The 20,420-nt window shown below is 45.3% G+C and overlaps 1 pseudogene, besides 1 other annotated feature; it reads left to right on the forward strand.

The window, feature by feature from the left end:
- Positions 4,018-4,517: an enhancer, noted in NCBI's record as "H3K4me1 hESC enhancer chr3:134100919-134101418 (GRCh37/hg19 assembly coordinates)". NCBI's record gives its function as "activates a minimal SCP1, AML or CMV promoter by ChIP-STARR-seq in primed H9 embryonic stem cells {active_cell/tissue: H9 hESC(primed)}" and the evidence as "EXISTENCE:reporter gene assay evidence [ECO:0000049][PMID:30033119]".
- Positions 7,138-7,435, forward strand: HMGN1P9 (high mobility group nucleosome binding domain 1 pseudogene; annotated as a pseudogene).

Genomic DNA, 20,420 nt, shown 5'->3' on the forward strand with positions numbered 1-20,420 from the left:
CCCAGGGCTAAGAGGATTCCTGTGAATGGTGAGGTTACACAATGGGCAGGGAGCTCTGAACAATGCTCCCACTTCCTCCCCTTTTTCTAGGGTGTGTAACTGCCCAGCGCCTTCACAATTTCCAGTCCTGCATGGAAGACGTGTCTGGATATTGGTGAATACATAGATGAACTACTGCAGGAGCGCACACTTGAGTATATTTTTGTGTGGGTAGCCATCAGACTGGGAAAGAATGGGGTGGGGATCTAAGAATGGGCACATTCTGGCCGGTGAATAAAGGAAGACCATTTTGAAATATCAATGTAACCCCAGACACCTGCCTTTTCTGCAAAGCTACCTTATACTGAGTGAATACTGATTTGGTGGATGTGCCATTGCTGCCTGGAAAGATCCTCTGCTCTTGGCAAGAGGCAGCAGGGAATGTGAAGAGGCCCCTGAGTTTGCAGGGAAGGGCCTAGGGCAGGGTTTGTGCCTGCTGGGGCAGGGCCAGTGTGATGGAAGAGTGCCCCCTAGTGAGTCACATCTCCAGTTGCTGGGGTCAGCTCAGCCCAGGGCTCCCCAGGTGGGTCTTGGGTCTGAGGTTGGGGGTGAGGGGAGGGGGAGGGGAAGAGATGTTTGGGACAGGATTTCATCCTGGGACAGGTGTCTCTCAGACCTCTCCAAGAATGGACTCATGGCTCCAGTTGTGTTTCTGCACTTTCCTCCCATTTCAGCCTCTGCTGGGCTTTCACGTGGTCTTTAAAGAGATACCATCTTTAACATAAACAGCCTTATATCATTGGCGTGGGAAAACACCTTGCATTCACTCACCCATTCACCCTTCCACATATCTATTCTGTCATGTATTTCATACCTTCAATCAACAAACATTCCCTGCGCACCTGCTCTGAGTCAGCCCCTATGAGTCAAAGGGGGCTTCCATTCTTGCAGGGCTCTCAGGCCACTTGGTGCAGGGGAAAAAGAAGCAAGTACACTACAAAGTGGAGAGTTACACCTTGAAGGAAGGGAGCATGGGCACAGGGAGGCAGTCATGACGGGCTTCCTGGAAGAGACATTTCTCAAGCTGAGTGCTGAAGGCCAAGTTGAACAGTGAGATGTCTTCCCCAGGCTGGCATCTGGAGAACCTGCACTAGAAGCACAGACCCCCTGGTTTACTAAAACAGTGGCAGGAACTGTTGAACCATTCTTGGGTGGCCATTGATCTGCAGCCATCCATATGTCCCTCCCTAGGAGTAATCCTGGAGGGAAGGAGGACTACAAAGGCACATGGAAACTTGAGTGGAGGGTGCTGGATATATTTACTCTCTTGACTGTGGTGTACTTATGATGAAACTTATCAAACTGTGCATTTTAAATAGGTGGGTTTACTATATATTAAGTATACCTCAAAAGAAAAAGGGGAAAAAAAGTCAAATAGTTCTACAATGTAAGAAAGCAGTCCCCTGTTTTACTCTTTCCCCCACCAAATTCCATTCCAAAGAGACAATCACTTTAAACATCTTTTAAATTTTATTTTTATTACTTTTTTTTTGAGATGGAGTCTTGCTCTGTCACCCAGGTTGGAGTGCAATGGCATGATCTCAGCTCACTGCAACCTCTGCCTCCCTGGTTCAAGCTATTATCCTGCCTCAGCCTCCCGAGTAGCTGGGATTACAGGTGCCTACCACCATGCCAGGCTAATTTTTGTATTTTTAGTAGAGGTGGGGTTTTGCCATGTTGGCCAGGCTGGTCTCGAACTCCTGACCTCAGGTGATCTGCCCACCTCGACCTACCAAAGAGCTGGGATTACAGGCGTGAGCCACTATGCCTGGCCTAAACTTTTAAATATGTTCCATGTTTACCCTTGAATTTCTATATAATATTCTTATTTTTCTTCTCTCATTATGCTTCTGCTTTAGGTGTTATCTACCTCATTCCTATTATGAAAGATTAGGATTGTACACCACACACACTTCTTTCCTTCATCCTCTTGACTTGGCTACATGGCATTTTTGGTTAAATTACTATCCAACGTTTATATTATTGTGACTATGTAAATATTGTTAAGAACAGAATCATATACTGTGCTGTGATCACATTTTCTTTCTTATACAACTTTTGTTTTGATTGAAGTTAAACTTTGCCTCATTTTGCATCTGCTTGGTGTTCTATATATTTAGCATTAAGTTGTGCCAAAATGGACACACATAACTCTAAGTTTCCCTAAATGACTGTAGACTCAGTTGTGTTGTATCAGGTCTATCTCTGGTCATCCCACCTGGAGAATTGGGATGATACACTCTTTGGTCCTACCAAACAGCTTTCATCTTGAGATCGTCCTCCATCTTCATTGTGGCCCTTCCTCTCAGTTCTCTTTTGTGTGGTCCCTCATTTCCTGGGTTCTTTTTCTTCCTCTTTCTGGGTTTACTTGTCTAGTCACTTTGTGAGAATGGATCTGCGAGAGGCAAATTTTTAAAAAACCACTCATACACTGTTGATAGTTGCCTGGGTATAAAACTCTGGGTGAGAAAGAATTCTCCCTCTGTATTTTGAAAGAGTTGCTTCATTGTCTTCTTGCTTTTGGTGTTGCTATTGAGAAAAATAACATACTTCTGACTGATGATCTCTGGATATAAATTGTTTTCTCTTTCTCTGGAAGCTTACAGGGTTTTCTCTGCATGCCTGGATGTTCTGAAGTTTCCCAGTAATGTGCCTTGATATGTTCTTGTCTTCTATTCTGAGTCTTTGGTGAGCCCTTCAATCTGGCATGTCATGTCCCTAAGCTCTGGGAAATTTTCTCAGATGATTTAGTTGTTAGTTTTCTCCAGTTTTTCTGTTCTCTCTTTTGGAACTTCAATTATTTGGATGTTAGAACTCCCCGAATGATTCTCCGACTTTTAATTTTTTTCCTATTATCTTTTCTTTTCTGGGAAATTTCTTCCCTTTTTAATTTTAACCCTTCTGTATTTTTGCTGTCATTTTTAATTTTCAAGAGCTGTTTCTTGTCCAGGATTCCTCTTTATAACATCATCTTCTTGTTTCATGAATTAATTATCTTCTCTTATCCCTTTAGGGGTAGTAATTATAATGAAAATTGTTTTCTTATTCTGATCTTCACATTTTCTCTGTTTCCTTAAGGTTCACTTTTTTCTGTTTGTTTTGGTTTCTGTTTTTCGTAGTTAAGGCTTCCCTCAAATGACTTTGATTCTTGGCTGTCTGATCCTATTTAAGAGTGAGGCAGTTAACAGCTAATGGAAGCCCTGTGTGGGAGCAGAGCTGGATTCTTGGAGGGTTTCACAGAAAAAGGGTGGGATAGGATTCTGGCCCTAATATTGGGGACCCCAAAGTAGCAGAATATGTAGGTCATTTCCCTTGGGCCAGCAAGATTTCCAGTGAAGGATCCTCTGAGTCTCCTGCCTGGAGGCTGGCAGCCAGCATTGGGAGAGCAGAATGAGGAGGGGGCGATGAAGGGGGTTGGGAGGAATAAGCATGACCAGGACCCCACCACTGCCATCCCTGCCTTTAGGCTCTCCAGATGATAACTCTACAATTTGGCAGTGAGGAGGGATACGGGGTAAGGGGGTTGATCTTCCCTTTATGAAGTGAGGGAGGGGATCTTGGAGAGTGCTCCCCTTCCCCTTCTTCAGGTTCTTACCCACAGTCCTGTTTTGGATCTCACCCTGGCCCACTTCATAGAGGTGTCTGGTGCCTCTTAAGCTTGTTGGAGATTCTTCCCCAAACGCTCAGCAGGGAGAAAGGAAAGAATCTCATTTTTCTGTTTTCCCCTTTCTAGAATTTTGTTGACATCCCTCTCCTGCTTCTCCTCTCCTGCCTTCTTTCGCTGAAGGGTTTGGCTTTTTCTTTCATCTCTTGCCATCCAGCAGGCAGGGTTTGGGGCGGAGCCAGGGTGAAGGTATTCACTCCTCCGTTTAGCTTCCTCTTCCTTTTTCCCACTGAGGTGGCTCATTCCAGGCCTTGTCAGGACTGGTATGGGCGCTTGCGCCAGGAAGCTGGCAGACTCAGGGTTGTTCATCTGGTTCTGCCACTTCAGGGCTTGCTTTCCATGCTGTGGGCTGGGCTCCCATACATCCGCCAAGGATAAACCCAGGGGTGGGGATGCTTCTGTGAAGGCAGTACTCTGGATGGTGTGAGGACTCTGTGCTCCAGCACTCCAGGGCCAAAGCCAAGACCTTCCAAAGAAAAACTTGAGGTCCTGGGTTGCAGAGGCCCAGGGCTAATCCTAGGACCCCAGGGGGATGCTTTTCCAGGAAAAGGCTGACCCAGAGCTGCCTTTGGGTCTAAACGGGTAACCTTTCCTCTTTGTATTCATAGGAGAAGGCGTTGGGAGGGAGCTCTGCCTCCTCCAGGCCCACCTTTTGCTGCCTTCTGAGGGCACAGCTGCCCTTCAGCCCCTTTGGGAAAGTTATGTTCTTTGACCTGGCAAGGTTGGGGCTGGAGTGTCTCTTGGGAGATATGATAATGTCTGCTTATTTTGTGCAGAAGCCCTCACGGTGTGTTGTGTGGGCACTGGTTTAAAATGCCAGGGAGATTCCATAATCAGTATTCTTTCTTAGAGATTCACAATGGCATCGATTTCTATGAAAAGCCTGAAAATTCCTGCAGGAAAGAAACCACATATTTTGTTTAAGGCACCCACATAAGTGAAGACAGGCTGAAAGAAATTAGACTGATCTTAAAGGATATCAGGCAAGGGACAAATTGGAGTATGGAGCCTAACATCCTAGTGGAGAATAAGATGGCTCCAGCATTGAAGACCATGAATAGTGCAGTCTTAGTTAAGATGGTCATTGGCTAAACTCTGTTGGGGGTCTGGTGTTTCCTGGTTCCCCAGCTTGCTTTCTCAGACCTTTGTGGCAGGACCCATCTTGCTCACCCCGGCACAAATCCAAAGTGACTGGGGCAGGAGGAGAAATGGAATCCAGCACTTGTACAAAGGGGTTGGCCTTGGAAAGGCTCAGAGAGTTTTTTCCTAGGAGTCAGAGGGAAGTACCAGAGAGACATAGGCTAGGCAGGGATGAGAGCACAGGAAGGTGGGAAAGGCAGGGACCATGGAGTCACAGCAATTATTAGTATTTTTTTTTCTTTTCAAGACAGAGTCTCGCTCTGTCGCCCAGGCTGGAGTGCAGTGGCGCGATCTCGGCTCACTGCAACCTTTGCCTCCTGGGTTCAAGCAATTCTCCTGCCTCAGCCTCCCAAGTACCTGGGACTACAGACACGTGCCACCCTGCCCAGCTAATTTTTGTATTTTTAGTACAGACGGGGTTTCACCGTGTTGGTCAGGCTGGTCTCAAACTCCTGACCTCGTGACCTACCGGCCTCGGCCTCCCAAAGTCCTGGGATTACAGGCGTGAGCCACCACACCCGGCCGCAATTATTAATATTTTTGGATGGTGGTGTACCTGCATTTTTAGTAAGATATAACAATATAAAAGGATATAATAAAATTCAACCATTTGGGTGTGTAGTTTGAGAAATTTGGGTAATTATATGCAATTGTATAACCACAACCATAATCAAGACTTAGATCATTTCCATGTATTTATTTTTATTTTTATTTTTATTTTTATTTTTTGAGACAGGGTCTCATTCTGTCACCCAGGCTGGAGTGCAGTGGCATGATCTCGGCTCACTGCAACAACCTCCATCTCCCGAGTTCAAGCAATTCTCTTGCCTCAGCCTCCCAAGTAGCTGGGATTACAGGTGCACACCACCATGCCCAGCTGATTTTTTTGTATTTTTAATAGAGATGGGGTTTCTCCATGTTGGCCAGGCTCGTCTTGAACTCCTGACCTCAAGTGATCCACCTGCCTCCACCTCCGAAGGTGCTGGGATTACAGGCGTGAGCCACCGTGCCCAGCTTCTCCATCTATTTAAAAGTTTCCTTGTTATGCTTGCAGGCAAGCTCCTCCCTCGACCTCCAGCCCCGCCTCCCAGGTTCAAGTGATTCTCCTGCCTCAGCCTCCCGAGTACCTGGGACTACAGGTGTGTGCCACCATGCCTAGCTAATTTTTGTATTTTTAGTAGAGACAGGGTTTCACCATGTTGGCCAGGCTGGTCTTGAACTCCTGACCTCAACTAATCCGCCCACCTCGGCCTTCCAAAGTGCTGGGATTACAGGCATGAGCTACCGCGCCTGGCCCAGACTATATTTTCATTTATTTTTGTGAATAGTTTGGAATAGAATTGCTGGGTATGCGGAAAGTGTATGCTTAGCTTTGTAAGATACCACACGGTTTTCCAAAGTGCTGTGTTGTTATACATTCCCATCAATAATGTGTGAGAGTTTCAGTTGCTCCCCATCTGTCAACACTTGGTATTGTCAGCCTTTTAAATTTTACCCATTCTAGTGGGTAAGTAATGGTGTTTCATTATGGTTTTAGTTTGCAACTGTCTGATAACTAGTGATACTGAACATCTTTTCATGTGGTTATTGGCCACTCACACATCTTCTTTTATAAAATACCTGTCCAGGCCGGGCACGGTGGCTCACACCTGTAATCCCAGCACTTTGGGAGACCAAGATGGACAGATCACTTGAGGTCAGGAGTTCAAGACTAGCCTGGCCAACATACTGAAACCCTGTCCCTACTAAAAAATATACAAAAATTTGCAGGGTGTGGTGCGGTGCGTCTGTAGTCTCAGGAGGCTGAGGCAGGAGAATCGCTTGAACCTGGGAGGTGAAGATTGCAGTGAGCCAAGATCATGCTACTGCACTCCAACCTAGAGGACAGAGTATGACTTTGTCTCAAAAGAACCCAAAAACCAAAAAAGTATCTGTCTAAATGTTTTACCCATTTTAAAAAAATTGAGTTGTTTGTTTTGTTTTTAGTGAATTGTGAGAGTTCTTTCTATATTCTGGTTGTAAGCTCTTTATCAGATGTATGTTTTGCAAGTACTTTCTCCCAGTCTGTGGCTTGCCTTTTCCTTTGGGTTGGAGATGGGCCACTTACTCTCTGGGCGACCTTGGACAAGTGACTGCGACTTAGCTTCTCTAAGCCTTGTTTTCCTCATGTGTAAAATAAGAATTTAAAATGTTGCTTAGGGGTCCCAGCAGCTCAGGCAGCCAGAGGAGCTGCAGCAGCCAGGCAGCACTGCTTCTCCAAGGCTCCCGGCACCGCTCGCTGCAGGCACCTGGCACGCACCCTCTCCGCCACCAAGACACCCAAAAGGAAGGTCAGCTCAGCTTAGCCAAAGGGTGGTGAAGGAAGAGCCCAAGAGAAGACCTGCAAGGTTGTCAGCTAACCCTAAAGTGGAAAGGAAGCCCACAAAGGCAGCAGGAAAGGATAAATCTTCAGACAAAAAAGAGCAGACAAAAGGGAAAACAGGATGAGGTGGCTAACCAGGAAGCCAAAGAAGCTTTACCTGCAGAAAATGAAGAACTAAAAAAATGAGGAGAGTCCAGGCTCTGATGAAGCCCAGAGAAGGAAGCTGACTCTGATTGATATTATCTTCCCTGTCCTAGCAGTGGTCTCTATCCCTCTTCTTGTACAATCCAGAGGAATATTTTTATCAACTATTGTTTACAAATGCAAGTTTTTTAGCAGCTCCAGAAACATTTTTAAGAAGGAGGGAATCCTTTCTCATTCAAATTCTAAGTGTAAATGCTTTTTTTTAAGGTAATTTGCTGATTGTTTATTTTTTGGTATGGCCAGATAATAGTGGCATATTGATTACAGAGGGCTTTGACTGTCTTGGTTGTCAGCTTAACATTCCATAGTTGGGGATGGGTCATTTATACCCTGTAATACAAAGCATCCAAAATGCAATTTGCAGAAACAGTCGTGCATTTAATACTTTTTAAACATTTTAAATTACTTCTATTCCCATGTTGTTTATAAGTAGAATTGTTAAAGAAAACCGCTCCTTGATGGTGGCGCTCCCTGTCAGAATAGTGTGCACTCGGTAACATCTTTGGTCATGGTAGTCCAGTTTTCCTGATAACTTTGGTAATGTGCTGTGAAAGGTTGACAATTTGAGTATGCGGTGTAATATTAAATTATAAATTGGCAGAAATTATGAGGTAACAGCTTATCAACATTTGAAAATATTGATAGTTGATATCCTCTTAAGGAATATTTGCCTCTAAATTGTAAGCTGGAAAGTCACTGGAATAACGAATAATTTTATTTCAGAAGTTTAAATCATTGCGAATGATATAATATTTAGTAAAATCATTTAAAAATAAGGCTGTTCAATTGCTCTTTTAAATGTATCATAGGGAATCTGAATATCATCCCAATTTAATACCCATCCATATGCTTTAGAAAAACAATACATGAAGGAGTTCTTATTAAATAAGAATCAGAAATTCTAGTTAGTTCTTTTTCTCCTTGAAGTTGTATTTCTATTCTCTTCCCCCACAACATTTTTTACTCTTTATATATATAAATATATATAATTTTTTACTCTTTATAATAAATGTATATAATTTTGTACTCTTTATATATAGTATTATGTATATAGAAATAAATGAAATATATATGTGTATGTATACATACATATAATTGCCAGCCTGCCCTACAGATTTCAGACCGGTCAATCCCGACGAGTACTTGAGCCAATTCCTTAAAATCTCTCTCTCTCCCCATTTTATTGGTTTTCTTTCTCCAGAGAGCCCTGATTAATACAGTAGCCAAGATTATATTAACTGTTTTTTCACATTACAGGCAACTCTCCCCTAGGATTTTGGTGAAAAAGGAATACATTTCTTGTCTTTAAGGCCCTGATATTTTGGGGTCTGTTTATTAGTGGTCTTACTACGTGCTAATACATATATTTACTCTGTGCTAGATATTGTCCTGGGCACTGGGGATGATAATGTTCACCTCCAAGTTTTGTTGTGAGAATTTAACAAAAACTTATATGTGAGAGCCCTTAGCTTAGAGCTGGCGCATAGTAGGCTCTGTGTGTTAATAAGCTAGTTTTAGAAGTGTCCTTATGTGTGTAAGCAGCCATAAGAAGCAGCCATATGGAGATGTGGCTGTGGGTGGAAAGAATGCGCCACTGGACTCATCAGGGACCACAGACAGAGCAGAGACCCCTGGGCATACAGCCTGTAAACGCGGTAAGGATACCCTTAGCAAATTGTTCTTGGTTTGGTTTCCTCTCTAACTTCTCTTCTATACTATCTCAACACTCACCTTCTTTCTATATTAGTTATCTACTGCTGTGTAACAAACTATCCCAAAACTTAGTGGCTAAAACAGCAATAAATAGTTATTATAGCTCACAGACTCTCTGGATCAGGAATTTGAGAGTGGCTTGGCTGGTGGGGGTTCTGACGTGGGGTCTTTCAGGGGGTTGCAGTTGAGGTGTGGGTTGGAGCTGCAGTTATCTGAAGTATTAACTGAGGTTAGAGGACCCTCTTCCTAGGTGGCTCACTCACATTGCCAGCAAGTTGGCGCTGCTGGCTGTTGACTTGAAGCCCCAGTCCTTTCTCCTCTTTGAACATGCATCTTTTGGGAATGCCCTGAGTCGCCCCTTTCTTTGCCTGGGAAGCTCAGTGTATCCTTAAAGTCTCAGCTTGGTGATCACTAAGAAGGAATTCTACTGAACTTTTGGAAAAGCCAGCTGCCTATTGGGAGTAATTCCATTTGCTGAGATCCTAAATAGCTTCAATGCCAGCTTTCAGGTTGACTTAGGAAATGTTGGAGCCCTTGGCACACACTAACTTTCATTCTGTAGGACCCCACTGGTCTCATGAGTACGATCCACCAGCATGGTCCTGAAGCTAGCCGCAAGAATGTCATCTGCATCTGCAGTAGTTGGAGGCTCAGAAGAGACTAAGCTCTCTCCACAATCTCCCTTCCCTCCTGAAATGGAGCTGATCCTTCCCGACTGGGTCCCCTGTGCCCTTGCAGACCTCTGTCTTCACACCCAGGACAGGACTTCAGTGATCTTGTTTCCCTGAACAACTTGTTACTAGATGCGTTGCAAAGACAGGGGATTGGGCCTTTCTCATCTCTTGGCACCCGGCACTTAGTAGCTGTCAGTAAATACTCATTTTTCTCCACCCCTACTGTCCCCACCCTGGTCCAAACTGCCACTTTCTCCCTCCTGGCCACTGCAATAGTGTCCTCACTCATTTCCCTGCTTCCACTATTGCCACTCTTCAGCCTGTTCTTTGCATTGTAGCTGGAGTGCTCTTTCAGAAACATGACTTAGATTATACTGCTCCTCTTCCTAAAAACTTCCCAGGGCTCTTGAAATCACATCCAGAATCCACCCTTTTCTGCACCTCTCCTACAGCTCTCTTGCCTGGTCACTGGGCTCCAGCCACACTGGCCTTTTAGACCCCAAACCTGCCAAGATCCTGCCCACTCCAGGGTTTTTGCACCTGCTGTTCCCACCCTTAGAACTCTGGCTCCACATCTTCTTGTGGCTGGTGCCTTCTTTTCCTTCATGTCTGATCTCACACATTGCCTCCTCAGAGAGGCCCCCATGACCACCCAGCTTAAAACACCCCCAGCCTCGGGCACTCTCTGGCATATCCTCTTCCTGTTCTCTGCATAGAAACAAGTCATTTCATCAGCAACTAATTATTTATGTGTGGGATTGTTTCTTTATGGTCAATCTACCCTCAACTGAATGTCAACTTGATCAGGAGGGATTTTGCTTTATTCCCTGTGCCAGGCACAGTGCCAGGCATGTAACATTGCCATAAATATTTATTGGATCAATGAATACAAAGAAGAAAGGGAGGCCAGAAGAGAAGAAAGGGAAGAAAGGAAGAAGATGGAGGGAAGAATAACAGATCAGGAAGGGGCAAATGGAGGGAGAGCCGAGAGAGAAAGACTCTGCCACAGTAGTTAAGAGCCAGGGTCATTGCCTCAGACAACCCTGGTGGTATGTCATCTCGAGCGTGTGATCACTCATTTCTCTGTGCCTCAGCCCCTCATTTATGAGATGGATTTTCCCTCACAGGGCTGTTATGAAAATGAAACAACATAACATATGTAAATACTATCCTGGTGCCAGGCACTAAAAAAGCACATGATTAATGGGGAAAGAGAAAGAGAGAGAGAACACAGTCTCTTCCCTGCACACTTACTGGGGAATTCGTTTGCTCTCCCTCCCTTCCCGCCATTCAGGGGATTGGAGCCCTGGGGAGCATCTGAAACCCAGGATCAGCCCTAGTCATATGTCTTCATGTCCTGACACGTGCTGGGGTCCAGTCTCCACCCCGTACTGGTGGCTGTCCTGTTTATAGCCAGCAGACTGGAGTGGCTGAGCAGTCAGACTCCAGCTGGAGTTCCCTGGGAGACCTAATGTCCCCAGCACATTCCAGACCTGCTCCCTTGGGAGGCGGTGCCAAGACAGCATCTTCCTTGCCGCCTGATTTCCATGAGGAACAATGGCTAAGGAAGGAAGGTCCTGGGATGGAGAGTGAGTTGGAGGGGTAGAATGGGATGCGGGAAGGGGAGAGAGCCCTTGGTGTCTGCAACTGCAAAGCCTTTAATGCTGGAGACTTGGCCGGCTCATTTTCCCCCACACTTGCAGCTGCCACCCACCCCTGGGCCCACACAGCCCCTCTCAATGGCATAGTCAGAAGAGGAGGAATGCTCAGCCCAGGGCTCCCAAGAGGAACCAACTCTTCTTAGGGTCCTTTCTTTTTACTTCTGAGCTGAAGGTACTCTCCTCTATTCCTACTATTGCCTGCGTGTTAGGCTGATAAGTGGTCACTTGGAGATGGTGGGATGGGGCTAGGGTGGGGGATTGCAAGGTGCTGAGAACAGCAACTCAGGAAAACTTCTCTCCTCTCTAACTGGTTTTGCCACCTAGAACAAAAAGATGAGCCTCACTCTCAGCTTGTGCAAAATAAGCATTGTAATAGAACTTAGCTCATAGATAAGGTTGTTGTATATCTAATGGTGTCCAGCACATGCTCAATAATTACCTTCTCATGGAGCAGTTCTTTAAATTCTCACCTCTCTCCACTGCAGTGGGACCTCCCATGTGCCAGGTTTCCCTCACTAAGACTCAAGGGCAGTTCTGAGCCAGCGGCACCCTCTGCCAAAGCTGTTCATGAGGATGAGTCATGTTATCTGGGATTCTCTCCTTTTGCTTTGGGGATGAGAAGATTGAAGCTTTCTGTCCCTGTCTTTGTCTATTATTCACTCCCTTGGGTCTTTTATCAACATCATCCTTTAGCACAACCTTCCCTGATCACCTTATTTAAATTATAACATACTCTAGTCCCTGTCCTTTTTTCCACATTTTTTTTTCCTCCACTGACTTACTTCCATTCTACATATTATTTATCTCACTTATTTATTGTTTTATTGTTTGTTTTCCCCACTGTAATGTAAACAGCACAAAGTCAGGTAGTTTTGCCTGTTTTGTTTGTGTCTGTGTCCTTGATGACTAGAACAATGTTTGACACATAGTAAGTGCTCTATAAAAATTTGCTGAAGGAGTGAAATTAACTCTTGGACGTTTTTGTCATGGGATGATCCATATAACTTTTTGATTTGTGGCTGCCTACAGGAAGCCACTTTTCCCCCCTAACTCATTTAAGGTGCTTATAAAGTACCCTAGCAATATCCCTCTGAGTCTGAGAAGTGGGCACTCACAGGATATGCGTGCGGCTGGTCCCAGTCTGCTAAACTCTTCTGTGTTCTGATTGGTCCAGTGGTCTCATCTCTTGCAGTGTGGTCACACTGTGATTACTATCAGTTGTAGGTGGAATGCAACCCAGTGGATTTAAATGGGGTAAAGTTAGTATCAAATAATCAGTGGGTTTTGCAGATGTAATGTCCTAAGCCTTGTATAGTAGGAATCATGTTTGGCCATGAGTATTGGATGCCACACTAAGAGTGGCTTAAACTTAAGTAAGGGATTCATTTTTCTTCCATAATGCATGAAGTCTGCAGGTGGGTACTGGGACTGGTGTGGCAGCTCCACGGCATCTTTAGTGTCCCAGCTCTTTTTGTCTTTCTGTTCCTCCTTTCTTTGCCCACCGCGTCTAGACTTAGCCTGATGGTTGTAAGATAACCACTGCACTTCCAGCTATCAAGTCAGCCTTCAAGCAGTAAGAGGGCTAAGGTTAAGTGGAGCAGACAAAAGGGTGTCCTGAGTTAGTTTCCTTTAAAAAGGATCCAGTCTGACAATCTTTGATTTTAATTGGGACATTTAGCCCATTTATATTTAGTGAATTATTAATATACTAGCGTTCAAATCCGCTATCTTACCGTTTGTCTTTTATTGATTTTACATATTTTGTTTTTCTTCTTTCTTGCTTTCTTGTGGATTAAGTATTTTTATTATTCCAACCCACTTAGATTATTAGTTATAGTTTTCCTATTTTTTTCCATGGTCACTCTAGAGATTACAACATGTAGCCTTGACTTATTAAAGTCTTAGCCTATAATCCCAGCACTTTGAGTGGCCACAGAGGGAGGATTGCTTGAGCCCAGGAGTTTGAGACCACCTTGGGCAATACAGGGAGACCTCGTCTCTACAAAAAATAAAAAAATGATCTGGGTGTGGTGGTGTATGCCTATAGTCCCAGTTACTCAGGAGGCTAATTGGGAGGATTGCCTGAGCTCTGGACGTGGAGGCTGCAGCGAGCCGTGATTGCACCACTTCACTCCAGCCAGGGCAACAGAGAGAGAGCCTGTCTCAACAACAACAAAAAGTCTAATGTAAATTAATACTTTTGGCAATTCCAGGGCAATGTAAAGACTTGAGAACACTGTAACTCACTCCCCTCCCATCTTTTCTGTTCTTGTCATGTATTTTAATTCCATATATATTTTATTTTATTTTATTTTGAGACTGAGTTTTGCTCTCTGTTACCCAGGCTGGAGTGCAGTGGTATGATCTTGGCTTACTGCAACCTCTGCCTCCCAGGTTCAAGTGATTCTTCTGCCTCAGCCTCCCAAGTAGCTGGGATTACAAGTGCGCCACCATGCCTGGCTAATTTTTGTATTTTTAGTGGAGATGCCGTTTCGCTATGTTGGCCAGGCTGGCCTTGAAATCCGGACCTCAAGTGATCTGCCAGCCTTGGCCTCCCAAAGTGCTGGGATAACAGGTGTGAGCCACAGCGCCCAGCCTAGTTCTATATATATTTTAAAGCTCACAAAATATTATTACTGTTTTTTACATATTGTAATGAGTAAATCATTTGGAATTTCTCATCTATTGACCCTTTTTATTGCTTTCTATTCCTTCCTACACCTCCGTGCTTCCATTTGGGGTCATTTTCCTTTTGCTCTGTGAGTGTTTCCTATATCTAGATGGTAACAAAAGCTTCCCATTTTTGTTGGCTGGGAAAGGTCTTTATTGCAAACTTCTCTGCTGTTTGCAAAGAGGCAGAGTACCCTGGGTTCCAAGGTAGGACACTGTGAAGAGCTGGAGGACTTGAGCTGGATGGAAAGTTCACATCCCTTTTTTCTTGGGTGTGAGAGGCATCAAGTCAAGCCAGTGTTTGGCAGAAGTCACAGGCAGCTATTTGATTCTGACTTAGGCCAAAGAGTCAAATCTGGCTCTGGTCCAATTTCTGAAGGGGAGCTGCTCTTGGCTGTTCCTCTCACAAATCAGATTTTCCCCTAGGCAGCTGTGGTGTCAGAATCTCAATGTCCAGCCTCACTCTGAGCACAGTGGTGTGGAGAAGGAGGATCAGTGGGCCAACCCAAACTCTCCCTTCTCACTTACACAATAGAATAACTTTCTTAGGTCTACGTTTTTCAAAGGGCAACTCATTTGGAAACTGCTCTCTCCTTGAATTCCTCAGATAAGCCTCAGGCCTGTGTGGATAGAAGTGAGTGGTCATCAGTGTCCCTGGCTCTGACCATCCCTGGGCAGCCAGAGTGGTCCTGGCTGGATTTCTTAGACCCCTGTTGGGGTCTGGCCCAATGTGAATGGGTGGACCCAAGGATCCCAGAGTGAGCTGGGCCATGCAAGTCTTCTCCAGCTGGTATTCCTGTAGCTTGTGGCCCCAGCTCCCCGATCCCTACATGCTCTACTCCAACTCAAGCAGGAAAACCGCACCAAGGTAAATGGTAGGACAAGAAGGCATTAGACTGCTTCTTTCACCACCTCAAAATCACAGAGGTCCCACCTGCCAAGGTGTGTAACTGCCTATATTGAGGATGTAGGAAAGAAAGAAAACGGAAACACAGCTTATCTCTGTCTGACTTCTGACTCTTTCTGTGGGCAGGAGGGAAGTTAAAATGCATTTTTGGTGAGCTGCTAGTGCTTAGTTATTTTTTTTCTACAGGCTAAACAGAGGAGCCAAGAGAGTTTCCTTCTCTGAATTTTGTTTTGCTAAGTAAAACAAAAACTCATTCTAGACTGTTTCTTCTGTCTGTAACATTCGTTCCCTAGATAGCTCATGGCTCACTCCTTCACTTGCAGGTCTCTGCTCAATGCTACCTTCTCAGAGAGGTCTTTCCTCTTCACCCTATTTAAAGCTACAACCACTATCACCCCCACCTCACCACTCACCCTTAAACCCTGGCAATTCCCCAATTCCCTTCACTGCTTTATTTTTCTCTGTCACTGTCTTACTCTATTTGTGCTGCTATGTCAGAATATCTTAGACTAGGTAATTTATAAAGAACAGAAATTTACTACTCACAGTTCTGGCGTCTGGGATGTCCAAGATCAAGGCTCTGGCTTCTGGTGTGGGCCTTCTTACTATGTCTTCATATGGTGGAAGGTAGAAGGGCAAGAGAGAGTGAATCCACATCTGCGAGCCTTTTTTTTTTTTTTTTTTTTTGAGACGAAGTCTCACTCTGTCACCCAGGCTGGAGTACAATGGCGTGATCTCGGCTCACTGCAACCTCCGCCTCCCAGGTTCAAGCAATTCTCCGGCCTCAGCCTCCCTAGTAGCTGGGACTACAGGCACGTGCCACCACGCCCAGCTAATTTTTTGTATTTTTAGTAGAGATGGGGTTTCACCATCTTAGCCAGGATGGTCTCTATCTCCTGACTTCGTGATCTGCCAGCCTCAGCCTCCCGAAGTGCTGGGATTACAGGCATGAGCCACTGCTCCCAGCCTACAAGCAATAATTCACTCATAGGGTGGAGCCCTCATGATCTACACACCTCCCATTAAACCCCACCTCCCTGTACTGTTGTATTGGAGACTAAGTTTCCAATACATGAATTCTGGGGGACACTAAAGTGGTCGACATGCTTTATTTATCATCTGCCTTCCCTCATTAGATGTCGGCTATGTCAGCACAAAGATGCTGTATGTTTTGTCCTCTGCTCTGTCCCCAGAGCCAAGAATAGTGCCTGGCACATAGTTGGCATATGAGTTATTTATTGCTTCATAACAAATTACCCCAAACCTTAGTGGCTTAAAACAACAAAGTTTACTAACTTACAGTTACCATGGATCTGAAATATGGATGCCACTTAGCTAGGTCCTGTGGCTCAGCATCTCTCACAAGTTACCAGCAAAGCACTGGCTGCAGCCACAGTCTCATCTGGAGACTCAAATGTGGGAGTATCTGCTTCCAAGCTCACATGGTTGTTGACAGGATTCAGTTTCTTGCAGGCTGTTGGACCGAGTGCCTCAGGACCTCACTGAATGGCCAGAAGCCACCCTCTGTTTCTTTTCTTCTTTTTTCTTTTTTCTTTTTTTTTTTTTTTTGAGATGGATTCTTGCTCTGTCACCCAGGCTGGAGTACAGTGTGATCTTGGCTCACTGCAACCTCCGTCTCCCAGGTTCAAGTGATTCTCGTGCCTCAGCCTCTCGAGTAGCTGGGATTACAGGCACTCACCACCATTCCCAGCTAATTTTTTTGTGTTTTTTTTGTTTGTCTTTTTTTGTTTTGTAGAGACAGGGTTTTATCATGTTGGCCAGGCTGGTTTTGGACTCCTGACCTCAAGTGATCAACCCACCACAGCCTCCCAAAGTGCTGGGATTATAGGTATGAGCCATCATGCCCAGCCCACCCTCAGTTTCTTGACACATGGGCTTCTCCACAGGGCAACTCACAACATGGCAGCTGCCTTCATCAGAAAGAAGAAACACTGGGATAGATGCAGAGGAAGAATAGAAACAGTCAGGGGTTACTGCTGTTGAGCAGTGGGTTCTTTTGTACACTGGAAAGCCAGGGGACTTGGGCATCAAAGAGCTTGCCTTTTCCACTTGTCACATGCTTCATTTTCAAGATTGGTTAACTTCCACTCTGACTCCATTCTCCTCTTTTGCCCACAAATGCATGCGTGCCCATGACATACAAATGGGAGGACAATTCATTCCTCAGAGAGGTGAAGAAACTGGCAAGCTTACATACTGGTCTCAGAGGTTTGTGAATTGCTTTCAGAGGAAAGGCTGGGGAAATTTTTTTAATTTTGGGAAAAGCACATTTTTTCCCACTTGCACAACTCAAATAAGGCTGAACACTCCCATGCTGGAATTTTCCAAACCTTTTTCATTTCTCAGATGGAGAGAAGAACATTTAGACAAAGCAAAGCCTTGTTTTTAAGGGAGAAATGAGCTATATCTGTGGTGTACCTTTTGTTTGCTCAGATGAACTTGCATTTCAGGGACACAGAAGAGATAAAAACACAGGAGGCACAACCAGGATGGCTGGAGGCACCAAATCAACAGTCAGGAGACCACTGCCTCAATCATGGGGCTCAGGTATACTGTGCTATCAGAGATCAGGAAGAGAGGTCCACAGGGCTGATGTGGGCAAGGAGGGATTCTGGAAATGGATGGGTTAGAGTTTCACCTTTGAGTGTGAAGTGTTTGAGTAGGAGGAGGGCATGATAGGTGAGGAACACAGGAGAAGAGGCAGGGCCATGGGAATTTTTGAAGCGTGATCATGTGTGGAGAAGCAGACCTGAATATACAGAAGGTAGAATAATGACAGACTTCTGGATAGGACCTTTCTAAGGTTAGGAGGTAGGATTAGCAGGACTGGCTTTTGGAAGGGAGGTGAGGAAAGTGCTCAGTTCGGGTGGTATTGGCTCATCTCTGGGCTCTTGGATACCGCAGGGGAGCAACAAAGTGCACCCTGATTCTTTGTTGTCGGCTACAAGATTAGGGGAAGACCATCATAGGAGACAAAAGAAGAGCAGGGTCACACTAGAACTTCTGTGCAACTTCCTTCCCAGTCCCTCCCAGCTCTGTCCGTACCCCTTCCTGTCTCTTTGTCTCCTGTCCCAACTCTATTTTTCTCCACCACACTTTACCGACACCTGAGACACTGTATGTTCACTTATTTGTCTTGCATATGGTCTGTTCTCCTCGCTGGAATGTTAGCTCCGGGGACCACGATTTCCAGACACTACAAGAGTGCTGGCACAATAAATATCCGTTGAATGGAAGAAGGAGTAGATAATATGGTCCAGGCCTGGTTACAAAGTGACAAGCTCTGCTGACAGAGTTTGAACTGGTTAGCAGAACCAGCAGTCAATTTGCTACCATGCCCACAGCCAGGGTAGCTGTGTGAGGTATGAGTGTGTCTTTACCTGCCAAGAATAGCTTGCTTTTGTGGGGAACACCCTCACCTCAGCTTGGGCACTAGGGAAAGCTGCAGGTGACACCGGCCTCCTTCAGGGGAACCTCTGTGCTCCTACTCTGACTCCGCCCAACAGCGTAACTTCCCACTCTCCGAGTTTGGGGCTTCTGCTGCCCCGCACCTCTGTGCAGCCTGAGTCTCACCTCCCTGGATGCCCATGGATGGCCCCTCTCCCCTGCTGCCCTCCTGCCAGCCTCAGTGGGCACCATGGACTGCTTCTGTGTGAGACCCTGGCTGGAAAGGGCAGGCAGAACTGGGGTTTGCTCTTCCCAACACCCACCCAGCCCCAACAAGCACCAAGAAGAAGGGCTGGCAGGGTTGTTTCCATGGTTCCGTGACCCCATAAAGTATCTTTCATTTTTCTCACAAAATGAGCCTCTTTTTCTCTCTTATATTTTCATATGGTACCCAGAAGCCCCTGGATTTCCTGGCATTTGTGTAAAGAATTCCAGCTATTCCATCCACAGTTTTCACACACAGCCCCTGCCAACAGACAGGCCATCTGAGAGGCAGCCCGCGACCGTGGCCAGAGCTTGTGCTCCTGAGCTCTGGAGATCTGGCAAGGACTCTGGCTTCCCCACTGACCCCTTGTGTGCTCTTGGGTATTTTTAAAATGCGGCCGGATCACGAGGTCAGGAGATCGAGACCATCCTGGCTAACACAGTGAAACCCCGTCTCTACTAAAAATACAAAAATCAGCTGGGCATGGTTGTGGGCGCCTGTAGTCCCAGCTACCCGGGAGGCTGAGGCAGGAGAATGGCGTGAACCCAGGAGGCGCAGCTTGCGGTGAGCCGAGATTGCGCCACTGCATTCCAGACTGGGCGACAGAGCGAGACTCCATCTCAAAACAAAACAAAACAAAACAAAACAAAACAGTCTTGGCCGGGCGTGGTGGCTCACGCCTGTAATCACAGCACTTTGGGAGGCCCAGGCGGGCAGATCACTTGAGGTCAGGAGTTTGAGATCAGCCTGGCCAACATGGCGAAACCCCGTCTGTAGAGATTAGCCGGGTGTGGTGCCACATGCCTGTAATCCCAGCTACTCGGGAGGCTGAGGCAGGAGAATCACTTGAACCCAGGAGGCGGAGGTTGCAGTGAGCTGAGATCATGCCATTGCACTCCAGCCTGGGCAACAAGAGTGAAACTCCGTCTCAAAACAAACAAACAAACAAACAACAACAACAAAAAAACCCAACAAGTCTTATTTACTGTTATGGACATATAATAAACTACATGTAACAATTTGTTAATTTCAGCATTTCAGTCCTTCCCTTCCACCCCTCTCCCCAACCCCATCTCCGGGAAATCGCTGATCTGCTTTCTGTTCTTATAGATTAGTTTACCTTGTTTAAACGTTTATATAAGTGGAATCATTCAGTAGGCTCTTTTTTGTTGTTTTTGTTTTTTTCCACTTAGCATGATTCCCTTGATGAGTCATCCATGTCGTGTGTATCAATAGTTCATCGCTTTCTATTGCTAGGTAGTACGGCATTGTATGGATGGAGCACAGTTTGTTTACTCATTTCTCTTTTGATGGACATTTGGCTTTTTTTCCAGAATCATTACTATTACGAATAAAGCTCCTAGGAACATTCAAGTTCAAATATTTGTATGGATATATAGTTCCTTTTTTCTTGAATAGTCACCCAGGAAAGAAATGGCTGGTTAATATGGTAAGCATATGTCAACGTTTAAAGAAACTGCCAAATGGCTTTCTGAACTCATTGTACTATTTTACATGGTCACCCACAACATATGAGAGTATCACTGCCTCTGCCTACTCACCAATGCGTGGTATAGTAAATCTTAATTTCAGCCATTCTAAATGATGTGTAGTAGTATTTCACTGTGGTTTTAATTTGAATTTCCCTAGTGGCTCATGCTGTTGGGCATCTTTTCATGTGCCTATTTGCCAACCTTACATCTTCTTGGCAAA

The sequence above is a fragment of the Homo sapiens genome, chromosome 3, assembly GCF_000001405.40.
Source record: "Homo sapiens chromosome 3, GRCh38.p14 Primary Assembly".
Lineage (NCBI taxonomy): Eukaryota > Metazoa > Chordata > Mammalia > Primates > Hominidae > Homo > Homo sapiens.